Raw genomic sequence first — 16,941 nt, 5'->3', positions numbered from 1 at the left:
ATTTGTTAATTTTTTTTTAACAGCCACGTTCAAGAGCAATAAACTGGCATTTAAATTAAAACAGATCCCACCCTCATTTATCTGTATATAAATCTGACTAATCTTGGTAGGATGATCTGATGTATCAAAGGGTTATAAATTTGGAAAGAAATCAGTTGGAAAGTATTTTGTAAGATAGAAAGAAAACAAACAAGATGCATATCAATATTAAGAATTAATTGCTTTAGCCAAACTAAGTACCATAGCAGGATTTTGAAGGGAGAACAAAGAAAAGAGAATAAAAATCATATCATTTTAATCACTTTTTTTCCAAACTGGAAGGCTATATTCAGTATAGAGGCAAAATTTTTTCAGTTGTAAGAGCACAGCTTTATTATATAGACTTTTTAATTAAAGATATTTTAAAGAACTGTAGGTGAAACTTGAAATTTCCATATGTATATCTTGTTTCCTTGTTTTTTAAATTGTCGCTTCCATGGTTTTTGGGGAGAGAGAATTGGCTTATTTTTATTGTAGACTAAGAATTGCAACAGAATTAAACCATTTATAGTTAGTAAAAGTTAACTTAGGTGTCTTAAAGCCATTTTCTATTTTCTTCATTGACTTATTTAGCCTTTTCTTTCTCCTTTTTTAAAAGCAGCTAAAGCAGGAGTCAGCAAGCTACAATCTGTAGGCCAAATGTAGCCTGCCACCTGTTTTTGTAAATAAATGTTTTGTTTTGTTTTTGAGACAGAGTCTCACTGTGTCGCCCAGGCTGGAGTGCAGTGGCGCGATCTCAGCCCACTGCAATTTCCACCTCCCGGGTTCAAGTGATTCTTATGCCCCAGCCTCCTAAGTAGCTGGGATTACAGATGTGCACCACCATACCTGACTGACTGGGTTTCGCCATGTTGGCCAGGCTGGTCTTGAACTACTGCCCTCATGTGATCTGCCTGCCTCGGCCTCCCAAAGTGTTGGGATTATTACAGGCATGAGCCACCATGCCTGGCTTGTAAATAAAGTTTTATTGGAACACAGCCATGCCTATTTGTGTATTGTGTATGACTACTTTTGAACTACAATAGCAGTGTTGGATAGTTGCAACAATTACTGCATGGTCCATAACGCTTCTTTTTTTGTCATTTCCAAAAATGTTTGCTAACCCCTGATCTAAGGATTGATGCAGTATGTATTTCTTTTTACAGGTAATATATATTGTCTTTGCAGTAAAATGTAGTGGTAACAATAAAGACAAAATCTCTTTTTGAACTATTTTAAAGAGATAAGTAAAGAGTACTGGGTAAGTGTACCATCTTTAGAGGATGATGACCTGGATTTAAATTTATATTCTGCCATATCGCCTGTGCCACCTTGGGCAAATTACCTCCATGCGGAGTCTGTCTCCTCATCTGTAGAAAATGGGGATGAAAGTGTTATCTTTTTCAAAATTTAATGAGAATTAAATGAGACAATATGTGCAAAGCACTTATTATAATACATTAATTACATCAGTGAGGTCATCATCATCTTTATCAACTACCCTTTTATCCACCACTACCACCGCCACCACCATCATTTTCATTTCAACAAAATATTCTGACCTTTAAATGAGGAATCTAGAGATACGGAGAAGCAACCATGTTTTAGCTAGAGGGTTGGTAACTTTAATAGGGTGCAGCCAGGGAAACAGAAACCACAGCAACTAACAATAAAAATACACTACATGGGATTGGTTAGATGAGTATTGGAGAACTGGAAAGGCAAAATGAGAATGCCAAGGTAAAATCGAGACTAACTTACAGAAGTAGCTACCTGTAGGGGAACAAAGGACCCAAGCTGAAATTAGTGGAACCTCAGAGGAAGGGCACCATGGATTTTAAATATGAGCCCTCAGTAAGAAGTTGTACTTCCTAATGCAGTTTGAATAGAAAAGCGATGAAAATATTTTAAGCAAATATGCTTGACCAAGACATGTTTATTTTCAAATGGGACATTATTAGGCAATTCATTATTGCTAGATAGAGAACAACATGAAACTGGCAATTTTTTACATTTTGAAACTTCTGTTCTAAGGTTATCAAACTGTAAAACATCTTGAACACCTTCTGATTGGTGGTGGCTGCCCAGAAACACAGAAATAACCTTTTAGCAATGTCTACTATGTATATTGCATGAAAGTGGGTAGGGGAAGGAAGACTGTACCTACCCAATCTATTGCCCAAGTCATTTTAGAGTGCTGATTAAGTTGATTTCTTTTGACAGTCGCATGGTTTTATTCATTCAACAAATATATATTAAATACTTCCTGTGTGCACTTTTCTAGGCACTGGGCATATAGGAGTGAACAGAACAGAAATCTGCTCTAAGTAGAAGAAGACAGATAATAAATATAATTATCCAAAATGCAGTCACATGTCAGTTAATGGGAATACGGTGTATATTTATTTTTGTATATAATTATACAGAAGATAAAAAGTATAGTATAATAAATATACAAACCAGTAAAATAGTTGTTAATTATCATTCTGAAGTATTATATACCGTACATAATTATATGTATTATACTTCTGTACAACTGGCAGTGAGGTATATTTGTTTACGCCAGCGTCACCACAAATGTAATACATTATACTGCAGCATTACAATGGCTATGACATCACTAGGCAGTAGAAATTTTTCAGCTCCATTATAATTTTATACATGTGGACCATCATTAACCAAAATGTTGATATGTGACGTATGAGTGTATATGGTATTCTGGAGGAAAAATAAAGGAAAGAAACAATAGAAAATGTGTGTATTTGTGTGGGGGAAATAGAAGAAGGCAACTTGAGAGAGTGATAACAGGGACCTGAATCCTTACAGACTTGTAGAGGGTGAATAATACAAGGCAAATCTGATTACTGGGAAGCATTAAGGGCCCATTTTAGGTTATTAGTCATGAAGTCTGTGGTTTTGCTTATTTCTCTAGCCACATTCTGATAAAAATCAGGTAAAAAAGCACATTATTGCATTTGGTAATTTTATCCCCATTTGTCAATTATGTAACCATATATTGAAGTTTTAGTGTCTGTTTACTTTGAAATGTTTCGTGTTTGGCTCATCCTTTACTAGGACAAGATTGTCATCTGAATGCTGATAGAATACTGTCTTTTCATAATGGAGGGATGAGAAACCTTAACTGAATATTGTGAGTCTCACAGGTAGAGATAGATTCATGAACTAGATGATCTGTCTGTGTGAACTAACACACTTGTACTCATGTTTCTGTAATGGAATTAATTGCTAGATCTGTTTTCCTATTTACCTTGTTTTGTTTTAAATTTAATGATTTTAATACCCTTAGTGATTTGTTTAAAAATGTGTTTAGTTTTATAATTGTTTGCTTGTGAGATAGTTATGACATGGAAGTCATATGAAGCTGGTTCAAATAACATATTGTTGGTTTTTTACTATACCGGCTTATGTGAAAGATACCTGTTTGCAGTGACAGGACCAAAGGACATTTGAATAAAAAAACAGATTTAAACCATAAAAATCAGCTTTTTCTGAAGGTACTGGGCCCCCGTTGAGTACAGTGATTCCTAAGCAGAGTTTTTATAAATCTACTGTGCTATATTTTATCCTTCTATAAACATTCAAAAGGCTTGCAGTTTTTTTTAGTTTCTCTCTTACTTTTAAATAGCTTCTTTGACATTTAATCAGAGAAACATGCCACATTACAGCATAATACATCTTTAAACAAAGAACCAAAGAACTTAGATTAGGAATATTAATTATGCCATACAAAACCAAAATAAGATCCTTACTAACCCACAGTGACACGACAGTTGATACTTTTCCTTGCCATCTAAGATATTGGTACCAAAAGATTTGCTAATTCATATATCTCATTTTCTCTAAAAATATGGAAGTGTGCATACAAAAATTAACTCAAGATAGATTAAAGACTTAAATGTGAAACCCAAAGCTATAAGACAACCTAAGAAGACAACCTAGGCAGTACCATTCTGGATATAGGAACAGGCAAAGGGTTCATCATGAAGACACCATGCAATTGCAACAAAAGCAAACATTGACAAGTGGGATCTAATTAAAGAGCTTCTGCACAGCAAAGGAAGCTGTCAACAGAGTGAACAGATAACCTACAGAATGGAAGAAAATTTTTGCAAACTGTGCATCTGAAAAAGGTCTAATATCCGGCGTCTATAAGGAACTTCAAGAAATTTACAAGAGAAAAACAGTCCTATTAAAAGAGAGTAAAGGACGTAAACAGACACTGTTCAAAAGTGGCCAACAGTCATGAAAAAGAGCTTAGCGTCACTGATCATTAGAGAAATGCAAATCAAAGCCACGAGATACCATCTCACACCATTCAGAATGGCTACTTTAAAAAAAATCAAAACAAGAGATGCTGGCAAGTTTGTGGAGAAAAAGGAACACTTATACACTGTTGATGAGAGTGTAAATTAGTTCAACCATTATGGAAGACAATGTGGTGGTTCCTCAGAGACCTAAAAACAGAAATACAATTCAACCCAGCAATCCTATTACTGGGTGTATACTCAAAGGAATATAAATTGTTCTGTTATAAAGACATGAACGCTTAGGTTCATTGCAGCACTATTCACAGTAGCAAAGACATGCAGTCAACCTAAATGCCCATCAATGGTAGACTGGATAAAGAAAATGTGGCACATACACACCACGGAATACTATGCAACAATAAAAATGAATGAGATCTTGTCCTTTGCAGAAACATGGGTGGAGCTGGAGGGCGTCATCGTTAGCAAACTAATGCAGGAACAAAAAATCAAATACCGCATGTTCTCGCTTATAAGTGGGAGCTAAGTGATGAGAACAGGTGGACGCATAGAGCGGAACAACACACTGGGGCCGGTGTGAGGGGTGGAGAGTACGAGGAGGGAGAAGATCCGGAAAAATAACTAAATGGGTACTATTCTTAATATGTGGGTGATGAAATAATCTGTACAACAAATCCCAGTGACACAAGTTTACCTGTGTAACAAGCTTGCACATGTACCCCTGAACTTAAAATAAAAGTTGAATTAAAAAGATACAGTAGTGAATCTTTGTGTATATTCTTAGGTCAGTTTACCCCCTTCATATAACGTGTTAATGTAAAATATAAGCATTATTAGCTATCAGATAGTATGTTCATTTATCGTCTTTGGAGTTGCATCTTATGCTATGAAAGTCATTTTAATAAATTAGTGAGAAAATGTTTTTAAATATATTTAGATAGCCTTGCAACTCTTTTATACCTGAGTCGAACTCTTGTATAAAAGATCATTTTTAGTGGCTATTGTGAGTGTTAATAGGCCTTCCTCACTCCAGACTTCTCATCAGTCACCAAGATATACCAACTCTACATTCAAAATGTGTCTTGATTTGACTGCTCATATGTCCATTACCACCATTCAGTTTAAGCCACCAATAACCTTTCAGCTGGATTATTACAGTAAACTCCTAATTGTCCCTTCTGTCTCTTCCTGTATTAATCAGGGTTCATATGCACATAATGAAAACCACTTGAGTGCTTTAAGCAGAAAAGGCTTTAATAAAAGTAGTAGGCTCATTCAATATACATTTATTTTTCAATGAATCAAAGTGAGGGAGGGCGGTACATGGTCATAAATGTGGATGTGCAGAACAGATGCAAATGGCTGTATGTAGTGAGTGTTCAGACCACTTTATGAAAATCTGTTTTAAGTGCTGCTTTTATAATTTTAAGATCTTAAATTAGATTTAAAATATAAAGCTATAGAGAAAATTAATCTCTAAAAACAAATCACTTTAAACATTTGTTCAGATAGCCATCCATTTGATACTGGTTTTTAAAAGGTACTTTAAAATATGTACAATATATCCAATTTTGTAGAAATTTACAATTTCCTTGTGACGGTGTTAATATCATAGCCTCTGTTGCCATGGAAACAAGTCTCTGAAGGCAGCCTCAGAGGCTAATGATTCCATGATGTTGCTGTGGATAGAAACAACTGAGACCGTTGCTAGTCACATGGTCAAGATTTTTTTTAAAACAACAACAGAAAAACTTTAGATCTCATCTTATTGAGTGATACAAATGGAGCAAAACAAGGATGATGGCATAACAGTCACTGTCTAATGAAATAGTTATATAAGATTTTTCAAGTTTAAAATGCCATACTGAATTCTGTAATAACCAAAATATAATGGTTACTGTATATTGCTGCTTCATTATTTATGTTAGAATCTTAAGTTTGACATTTTCTAATTTAGAATCTTATACAGCTCCCCGGAGTTTTACCCTGCTCTAAAACCTTTGCCCAAAGCATCCTGTGATCAGATCTGATATCTTTGCTGTTCCTCATCAGTCAGCCTTCATTTGATTATTATTTGTTTAGAGCTGCATTTTTGTTTCAAGTGAACTAAATGAATTACTTTGTTGTTCTGTAATTGTTTGTTACCAGAATTGGTTATCAGTTGTGATTAGGGAATTGTGTGTGTTGATGCGTCGTTGACTTTCTCAGCGGTGTTGGCCTTAAGGAAGAGGCAGGGGCCTATGTTCTTCAAGGAACTTGGTCAGTGCCCTGTAGAGAGGGGGATGGGTTAAGATGCTGTAAACTGGGAATTTTTTTAAATGGTATTCACATCCTCGTCTAAAGAAGGTGATTCTAGAAGAGGCTCAGAGACAGAGGGTTACAAGTGGGATTAAAATGTAACATTAAAGGATTCATGGTTTATCATAAAGGGTTTTGGAGAGCACCTGCCCAGTGGAGAAAATTTTTGTGCTTTGCTTTGAAATTTGACATAAGCATGTACTTTTGTCTTATTTTGGCTATCAAAGTAGATTATTAATCAGCTATTATCCTATTGTTAGGGCTGGAGACTGTTAATAAGAAAACATATTACATTTGTGACATTTTCAAACACTTAAAAAATAAACTTTAGTGTCCTTAAAAGAACCAAACCAAAACAAAAAACAACAGAGGCACAAGGAAGCTTTTAGAGGTGATAGATACGTTTGTTACTTTGATTATGGCAGTGGCTTCATAGATGTATGCCTATGTGCAAACTCATCAAATTCTATACCTTAAATATGTGCAGTTTTTTATATCACTTCTACCTCAGTAAAGTTGTTTTTAAACTAGAATAAAATTGAATTAAAAATAACGTTAGACTTTCATGACTTTGACACTTTTGATGACTGCAGCTAGTTACTTTGTAATGTATCACTCAATTTGGGTTTGTCTGATGTTTAATGATTAGATTCAAGTTATATACCTTTGGTAGAAATATCCTGGAAGTATTGTACTCTCATTACATTTTATCACATGATATATGATTTTGATTTTTCCCGTTACTGGTGGTGTTAACTTTGATCACTTGATTCAGATATTGTCTGCAGATTTCTCCACTGTCATTAATGCTTTGAAAGGAGACACTTTTGTATGAGTATATCCCATTCATCCACTGGAATGGACGTTTCACTTGGCAACAGGAAGTTTTAATATTCATTAATATTTCTTGAATGAATTACTCTATTACTATGATGGCTGCCAAATGATGATTTTATAATTCCATCATTACATTTTTAGTTAGCATTTTGTTGTAAGAAAATGCTCTTATCTTCATTTATTTATTGATGTATTTATTTATATCAGTATGGGCTCCCAGATTCCTATTTTATTCAGTGGATGTTATGCCATTGTTATCATTGAGTTACAGATTGTTCCCAGTCTGGCCAGTGGCAGCCCTTCAAGCCAACTTCTGTGTCCTTTGTCATCCTCTTTGAGTACTTCCCTTATCTTCTGGTACAGCAAGATGTCTACACACATCTTGTGCTTGCTGAGCTCTAGCACTGGAGTCAGCCATTTCTTCAAAGACCCATGGTTTGGTTTTGTTTGGTTTTGTGTTGTGGTTTTTTTCCCCCCGAGACGGAGTTTCGCTCTTATTGCCCAGGCCGGAGTGGAATGGCGTGATCTTGGCTCACTGCAACCTCTGCCTCCTGGGTTCAAAGCGATTCTCTTGGCTCAGCCTCCCAAGTAGCTGAGATTACAGGTGCCCGCCACCATGTCCAGCTAATTTTTTGTATTTTTAGTAGAGACAGAATTTCATCATGTTGGCCAGGCTGGTCTCAAACTCCTGACCTCAGATGATCCGCCCACCTCCGCCTCCCAAAGTGTTGGGATTACAGGCATGAGCCTCCGTGCCCGGCCATGTTGTGTTGTTTTAAATTGCAGAATGAGTATTTAGAAATCAAGATTTGGATGCCAGGTGTATTCGTGCTGTTGAGCTGTTAGCTGCATCCAGGTCCTCATAGTTAGCAGACCTATGCACATATATACACACACATTTATGTCTATATTTATTTTTGTATTTATCTATATATATTGAAAACTGTTTATACCAATACCTCCAATTTTAGTGTAACACCATAGGTCTCATGCTAATTTTCTATCTTTTCATATTTATAACTGCCTTTTCTGACGCAAGGAAACCTGCTGTCAGTATCCTTCATGTATTTATTTATTGGACCAGAATGCCCTGTATATAAGCAATCTCCTGTCATCATTGCTGCCCTAGTTGGACGCCCTTCTCACGCTGCTCAGGCTCCAGAAGATCCCATTTAGTCCACTGACAGCACAAAACCTTATGCCAGACTGCAGCTACTGCCTCATAGATGCTATCTGTCTCACTTGGGTTCCAACCACACACAGGCTGCCGCCACGGCTTTGTCCATGTAGACACCCTCGTCACCATGCTGAGGCTCCAGCACCCTTTGCCAGGCTATTGCCTCCCTTCCACTCCCTGCCTACAGATGCTTTCCTCACCCTGCGTGAGCTTCAGCAACATGCACTTTCCTATTCAGGAGGTCATCTGCACCAAGGTTGTGATGATACTCTACCATATCATCCTCTAGAAGCCTTATATTGTTTACTTCTCTCAATTATGTCAGCAAACCAGCTGAAATTAATCTTATGTATAGTTTAAGGGTAGGAATCAGTATTTGTTTGATTTTTCCATGTGTATATCCACTTGATCCAAGCACAGTTCTTACAAAACCACCACGCTTTTCTTATGCATTCATAAATCAGAAGTCAGAACCTATGGGTTTTCAAACATTCTTAGAAGGCCATGTAAATATTGCAGTGAGTATCAGTTACGATTGTTATTAATTTTGAGCTCATAATGTGGAATTCAGAATTTTTTTTCTCCAGGAACAATATATAAATGGTGATTGGAGTCCCGAGCTAAACCCACGGAGGCTTTATTCGTAGTATACTTTTTTATTGTGTTAAAGTTTACATCAAGTTTACCATTTTAGCCATTTGTTAATGTACAATTCAGTGGCATTAAGTACATTCACAGTGTTGTGCAAGTATCATCACTCTCAATCTTCAGAACTTTTCATCATCCCAGACTGGGAACATTGAAAAGAAAGAGAAAACACAAAATCCAATGCTTTAAAAATCTCTTTCTACAGGAAATAATAAATCCAGGTAACAGGAGTCCAGAGTGTGAAATACATTTTCAGTTTGTTTTCTAGAGAATGACACTTAAAGATCATAATAATTGTTTTTCTGTTAATATTCACAATGGATCTCCCATCCTTCCCCTTGCATTTATATTAATAACGCCACTGTGTATTCCTTGTCAACAACTGGAAAAGTATAATTCAGAATAAAGAAGCAGCGATAGAGAAAGGCACTCATGATCCCACCCCAGAGATTAATTTTTCAGACATTTCTTTCCATTTTTTATGTGTTTCATCTTCCCTTTTTTACTTAATGTTTTGTCATAAGCAATGTCCCATATAATTTATAAACTGTTCGTACTGATAATTTTAAATTTCTGTATGATAATCTCATATAATTTTCTTTTCTTTCTTTCTTTCTTTTTTTGAGATAGTCTTGCTCTGTTGCCCAGGCTGGAGTACAGTGGCGTGATCTCACTGCTCACTGCAACTTCCACCTGCTGGGTTCAAGCAGTTCTCCTGACTCACCCTCCCGAGTAGCTGGGACTACAGGCATGCACCACCGCACCTAGCTAATCTTTGTATTTTTTTTCTTTTTTTTTTTTTTTTAGTAGAGACGGGGTTTTGCCATGTTGACCAGGCTGGTCTCGAACTCCTAAACTCAGGTGATCTGCCTGCCGCGTCCTCCGAAAGTGCTAGGATTACAGGCATGAGCCACCATGCCCAGCCTCAATCTCATAGAGTTTTCATTTTTTACTTAACAATTCTGACACCTTTGGGTATTTCAAATATTCCACGATTTACCAAATAGAAGCAGTGTTCAAAAGACTATCTTAAAACCTTAGAACACCTTATGGGAGTACCTTAAAACATAGGCTTTTAAAATTATTTCCTTAGGGTAGATTTCTAGAATTACTAAGTCAAAGAGTTTAGACTTTTTTTTGAGGAGGGGGAGACAGAGTCTCACTCTGTTGCCCAGGCTGGAGTGCAATGGCGCAATCTAGGCTCACCGCAACCTCCACCTTCCAGGCTCTAGCAATTCTCCTGTCTCAGCCTCCCAAGTAGCTGGGATTACACGCATGGGCCACCACACCCGGCTAATTTTTGTATTTTTTTTTTTTAGTAGAGATGGAGTTTCACCATGTTGGCCAGGCTGGTCTTGAACTCTTGACCTCGCGATCCACCCGCATCGGCCTCCCAAAGTGCTGAGATTACAGGTGTGAACCACTGTGCCTGGCCAAGTTTAGACATTTTTAAAGCTCTAGATATTTACTGCCAAATTACTTTCCCTAAAGTTTGTGTGAATTTGTATATCCAACAGCAGTGTGAGAGGACCAGTTTTCATGCATTTTTAAAAGCTTTTTTGGAATATTTTTTATTGGTAAAATATGTATAACTTACTAGTCTTTTAAGTGGAATCATGCAATATTTATCCTTTTGTGTCTGGCTAATTTCACTTAATGTTTTAAAGGCTCATCCATCTTCTAGCATGATTAAGAATTTTATTCCTAGGGCTGGGTGCAGTGGCTCACACCTGTAATCTCAACACTTTGGAAGGCCAAGGTGGGTGGATCACAAGGTCAGGAGTTCAAGACCAGCCTGGCCAAGATGGTAAAACCCTGTCTCTACTAAAAATACAAAAAAAAAAAAAAAAAAAAAAATAGCTGAGCATGGTGGCAGGTGCCTGTCATCCCAGCTACTTGGGAGGCTGAGGCAGAGAATTGCTTGAACCCGGGAGGCGGACGTTACAGTGAGCTGAGATTGCACCACTGCACTCCAGCCTGGGCAACAGAGCGAGACTCCATCTCAAAAAAAAAAAAAAAATCATACCCATTGTGTGTATATTATCACGTTTTGTGTATCCGTTCATCTCCTGATAGACACGTGGTTTCTTTCCGCCTTTTGACTGTTGTGTGTGATGCTGCATTGAACATTGGCATACAAGTGTCCAAGTCCTTGCTCTCACTTTTGGGAATATGCCTACCCAGTGCATATTTACCTACCCAATTGCTAGATCAGATGCTGATTCTATGGTTGGTTTTTAAGAAACCACTAAAAGTTTCCTCAGAAGCTGTACCATTTTACATTTCCCACCAGCATTGTACCAGAGTTCCAGTTTCTCCACATCCTTGCCACCACTTGTTACTTTGTTTTTTGTTTTGTTTTAATTAGACACTTCCCTTGTAGTGGTGAAGTAATCTCTCATTATAGCTTTTATTTGTATTACCCTAAGGACTAATGATGTCGAGCATCTTTTCGTGTGCTAATTGGCCACTTGTATACCTTCTTTGCAGAAATTATTCAAGCTCTTCACACATTCATTAATTGGGTTGTTTCTCTTTGTGTTGTTGCGTTGTAAGAGTCTTTAAATGTTCTGGATATTAAACCCTTATCAGGTGTATGATTTGCAAATACCTTCTCCCATTGTGTAGGCTGTCTTTTCACTTGCTTGGTAATGCCCTTTGGTGCACAAAAGGTTTTAATTCTGTTAGAGTCTAATTGATTTTTTTCTTTCATCATTTATGATTTCTAAGGTTCCATTACCAAATCCACGGTCACAAAGATTAACCCTATGTTCTCTTGTAAGAGTTTTATGTTTTCAAATCTCATATTTAGGTTGTTAATCAATTTTGAGTTAATTTTTATATATAATGTGAGATGGGGGTCTATAGACCTTCATCTTTTGCATGTGGATATCCAGTTGTCTCAGCACCATTGTTGAAGAGACTCCATACATTGTTAATAAATCTTAATTTGACTAATTTGGTAGGCAGAAAAGATCATTGCCATTTTATTTTGCATTTATGAATGAAGATAAGCCCTTTTTTTAGTCTGGCAATTTGTTCTTCCTGTTTTAAGGCCTGTTAAGGCAGGCTGTCCTCATCTGCTTGATTTTAGTGTTTTTCTTACATATATAAGATATTTTATTTATATAGCAAATGGGTCTTATTACTAAACAACTTTCCTGTGTTCCAGTTTCATCCTTTTAAAAATAACAAGCCAGATAAAACAGTGAACTTTTTAGTTTAATTTATACCAGGTTCTCTCTACGTTGTTTTTTCATTTTTGCCAGATATGTCTGGCATGTAATAGACAATCAATGTTAGTTGAATTAATTACAGGCATGTTGAGGCAAGTTATTACTGTTCTTGATAACAGAAGTTAGTATCACGGATTTGTAAACTCTCTTTGTCTGCCTGATTGGGCTAATAAAATTACTTTTAGTTTTCTGAATGCATAGAGGAAAGTAGTGAGATGTATTCTGAGTGCTAGAAAAAATATTTTGCAGTCTGTCTATGAAGCAAGTGTCTTATCTCCCAGAGAAGGAAGGAATATTGTAAATGATAATCTTTTATTATTATGATTTAAGCATCTAAAGAGTAGGCATTCATTTTATTACAGAATCATTAAAATTATTATGGGGGTATAACTTTCTAAAACAATTTCTAGAGAATATTTTCTCATTTATATTAGTGTAATGTATTAATGTTTTTCCTGTTGCATAGTTATTTCTGAAAACTATAATTTATCTTTATGGCACAGCTTTTTGTTATGTGTTTCCCTTTTATTTTGGTGTTTTTCCTGATTTTTTGTCATTGATGATTTTTAGCCAACAGAAGCTGTTCTTCCCTCTCCTCCCACTGTCCCTGTGATCCCTGTCCTGCCAGTCCCTGCTGAGAATACTGTCATCCTACCCACCATACCACAGGTTTTTATTAGTTTCTTTTTTCTTTATAAAAATTTCATTTGCTTTTAATGTTTCATTTGTGTTCTTTTTTAAAACTGTTTGAGCTGTTTTTTGTAATTTGGTAATTTACTTTGGGCTTCAGTTAGTAGTTTTAGGGACTTAAACATTTGGGATTTAATATAAGTGGAGTCAGGATTTGCCATTTTATTAGGTTGTCTGTGAAATGGGACACAATGAACTTCATAATATTGAACCTTAGATTTGTTTTCATGCCTTTGTACTTAGAAATCTGCTTAAAACAGTTTTTAAACATTTTTACTTTAGAACACTTTATTCTTCTAAAGTTAGTAAAAATCATTGTACTCCTGATCTTGTACCAATGTATCATTTTATTTAACACTTTGTTTCCTGTTATATATTTATCTTCTTTGGAAATATTCATTCTTATGTTATTTGATTAGATAACACACTTCACATTTATTAGGTAAAAATAATAGCCAACATATCTGGGAGTATATGGGAATGCTCTGTGCTATCTTCACAACTTTTCTGTAAATCTGTTGTAAAATTTTACTTTTAAAAAATTATGTGTAACAGTTTAAAAATAATAGCCAAATGTGAGAGAGTCTAATCATTTTTAGTTTTTCAAAGCTTTACTACTTCCAAGGGGTGGCTTGAGACATTAACTGCCCTTCCAACAGTTATCCAAAGTCAAAATAATGGTAGTGGTATTAAAGATAATAATAAAGATCTTTGGTGTGAAAGATCACGATCTCATTTAAAGTGTAAATAAATGAACCCATAGATTTTTTTTTGCCATTATTGATCTGTAGCCTAAAATCTGGGTAAACATATGTTTGCTGTGTAAACAGTTTCAAAATAAGCTCCATTGGGGAAAAAATGATATATCAGCTGTGATTATTCACATCTCAGTGCCCTTCCCCTCTCCTAAAAAGTGAAGTCAGTGGGAACATCCATACAACCAAGGATTCTAGGGGAAATTACAGTGTTACAATGACTTCAGCCTTACTGTAATAAGACTGAATTGTAATCATTATAATAATACTGCTACTATATAATTTTTGATTATGAAAATAATTAAAAATTAAGTCATAAAACCAACAATGAATAGATGAATCCAAATGGATATTCTCTCTATATTGCAGGAAAAAAATTGAATTTATAAATAAAATATAATTCTGAGCAAACAGTTTAAGGGTTATTATGGCATCATAATAATGTAACATCTTTCCAAATATATAGAGTTTATTAGTACAGTTTTTTTTTTTTTTAATAGAATTGAAAGTTTATTTTACTCTTCTCACTTCAGTCAATTTTTTGGTGTTAAAATAGTTTTCTGGAATCCTTTGAGAATTTGTACCAGTCTCTTTATATTCATTTGGGAGCCTGTCTTTTCCTATTCAGAATTCTCTCATTTATTTACTCCAAGCAACCCTAACTTAGCATCCCACTGCATTTGAAAATTGTTGAGATCTTGCATAGTCTTATAAAAATACACGTTTTAAAGTCAGAATGACCTGGGGTTGGAATTCCAGTCCTACCACTTAACCTGTGTAACTGCACACTTCACTTAACCACAGCGCACTTCCATTTACTCATCTGTAACACTGAAGATAGACAGGAGTACTAACTTGAGGCGCTTTACAGTGATGGAGAGGATGCTTAATGCACGTCAGGTACTGGCACATAATCTTAGCCGCCCATATTTTTAGTGTTATCTCATATTTCTCTGAGACAGCAAACTAAGGAACAAGTTTTGTTTTGTTTTTTTAAATGAGGATATTTATTGAGGATACACACAAAAAAGACCTATTTATTCTGCATAGCTTCACTTTAGGTTTTAAATACACTACGGAAGTTCATGAAAGATAGTTTTACCATTTTTGTTGTGTTATGTGAGAAGCCAATGAGTGCACCTCATTTTCCAGAATAAGTGTGTTCCTAATTAGTGAAGTACAATGTGTACATTATAAAATTAAAATAATGGACTAAAATATCCGTCCCCAAGTAAAATTTAAAATACATACTAACATATAACCCAATTTCAACATATTAAGTGAATATGTATTCTTAAAAGATCCACTACTTTACATTTAGATGCGTTAGGATGTATTAGAAATAAAAACAGAAGAAAAGATTTAGAATCTAGTCTGTCTTTGCCACTCAAGCTAGTTACCCTCTCTGAGTTTTATACCCCCTTCATCTATTAAAATGGGGGGTAACGCCAACCTGACTCCTTTAAAATGAGTTTGAGAGTCAGGCAAATTAGAAAGATACATAGATGAAAACTTTTTAAAAAGTATATAGTCTTTCATGATTTGTAGAACACTTTTATACTTTTCAGAGTACTTTCACATTGATCATATTGTTTGTACTTTATGAAAGTCTTCTACAAATCAGAATTATGCTTATTATACAGAGTGGCACAGATAAAGGTAATATTTAATGGCTGCTTAATATTGCAGAAAGAACGTGGAGTTTATAGTCCTACCCGACTCCACCACTTCCTAGCTTCACCTGTTTCTACGTGTGATGGTGTGGAAATTACTCAACTTCTGAGAGCCTCAGTTTCTCCACATAGAAACTGAGTACAGAGTAGGTGACAGTTACTAGTTCTTCTTACTGGGAGTGTAAACACATAATCTCTGTGATACTAGCCTATTAAATCCAGAGGCTTATTTGCACCCTAGAGTAAATACTCTGCTTTAAAACTAGATGTTTTAAACCTTTATTTCTATCAGTTCTGAAAAGCTATCATGTAATTAAAGTATTGTTGAAAATGCTTTAAGAGCTAATTTTTTGTGCATGGTCTTTTTTGATATTTGAATATGTGCTTTGAAGATGAATAGAACATCGTCTCTGTCCTCTAGGGGCCTACTAGGTGTTTGTGCAAGAGACAAGTTTAACAAATAGCTCCCGCATAATGTGAGAGTAATTACCTTAGAGGTATGTCCAGAGCAGAGCATCATACTGCCTCTGGGCTTTTTTTTTTTTTTTTTTTTTTTGAAATGGAGTTTTGCTCTTGTTACCCAGGCTGGAGTGCAATGGCACAATCTCGGCTCACCACAGCCTCCACCTCCCGGGTTCAGGTGATTCTCCTGCCTCAGCCTCCCGAGTAGCTGGGATTACAGGCATGTGCCACCACGCCCGGCTAATTTTTTTTTTTTTTTTTTTTTTTAAGTAGAGACGAGGTTTCTCCATGTTGGTCAGACTGGCCTCAAACTCCCGACTTCAGGTAGTCCGCCTGCCTCGGCCTCCCAAAGTGCTGGGATTACAGGCATGAGCCACTGCATCCAGCCAGTTGTAGAATTTTATATTTCCACCAAAGTGCACAAGGATTCCAATTTCTCCACATCCTCACCAACACTTTTTATTTTCTGTTTTCTTCATAGTAGCCAGGCTAGTGGGTGTGAGGTGACATCTCATTGTAGTTTTGACTTGCATTTGTGACACATCTGTTCATGTGCTTATTGTCCATGTGTGTGTCTTCTTTGGGAAAATGTCTGTATGAGTTCCTTGACCATTTTTTAATTAGGGTGTTTGGTTTTATCGTCGAGTTTTAGGAGTTCCTCTGTGTATTCTGGGTCTCATGTCTTGTCAGAGATTACAGACAAGACATGTCTGTACCTTTGTGTCATATCCAAGAAATCATTGACAATTCCAGTGTCTCGCTTTTAGCCTGTGTTTTCTTCTAACAGTTTTAAGTTTTAGGTTTTACATTTAGATCATGATCCATTGTAGGTTGATAATTGTATATGGCATTTATTTCTGG

At 35.9% G+C, this 16,941-nt stretch overlaps 1 protein-coding gene across 45 annotated transcripts in view; it reads left to right on the top strand.

The window, feature by feature from the left end:
- Positions 1-16,941, top strand: part of DLG1 (discs large MAGUK scaffold protein 1) — a 256,762-nt gene that overhangs the window by 124,513 nt on the left and 115,308 nt on the right. For 18 of the 45 annotated variants that reach the window (XR_007095643.1, XR_007095642.1, NM_001290983.2 and 15 more), the window contains one exon: positions 13,071-13,169. The exons of the other annotated variants lie outside the window; for them this stretch is intronic. Coding sequence is in view for 16 of the 18 variants with exons in the window: in NM_001290983.2 (NP_001277912.1) it covers positions 13,071-13,169 (99 nt within the window). In the remaining 2 variants the exon portion in view is untranslated. The remainder of the gene's footprint in view (positions 1-13,070; positions 13,170-16,941) is intronic. 45 annotated transcript variants of the gene reach the window in all.

Source organism: Homo sapiens, chromosome 3 (assembly GCF_000001405.40).
Source record: "Homo sapiens chromosome 3, GRCh38.p14 Primary Assembly".
In the NCBI taxonomy this organism is placed as follows: domain Eukaryota; kingdom Metazoa; phylum Chordata; class Mammalia; order Primates; family Hominidae; genus Homo; species Homo sapiens.
The sequence above is the reverse complement of the archived record's forward strand: the minus strand, read 5'-3'. Positions and strand labels throughout refer to the sequence as shown.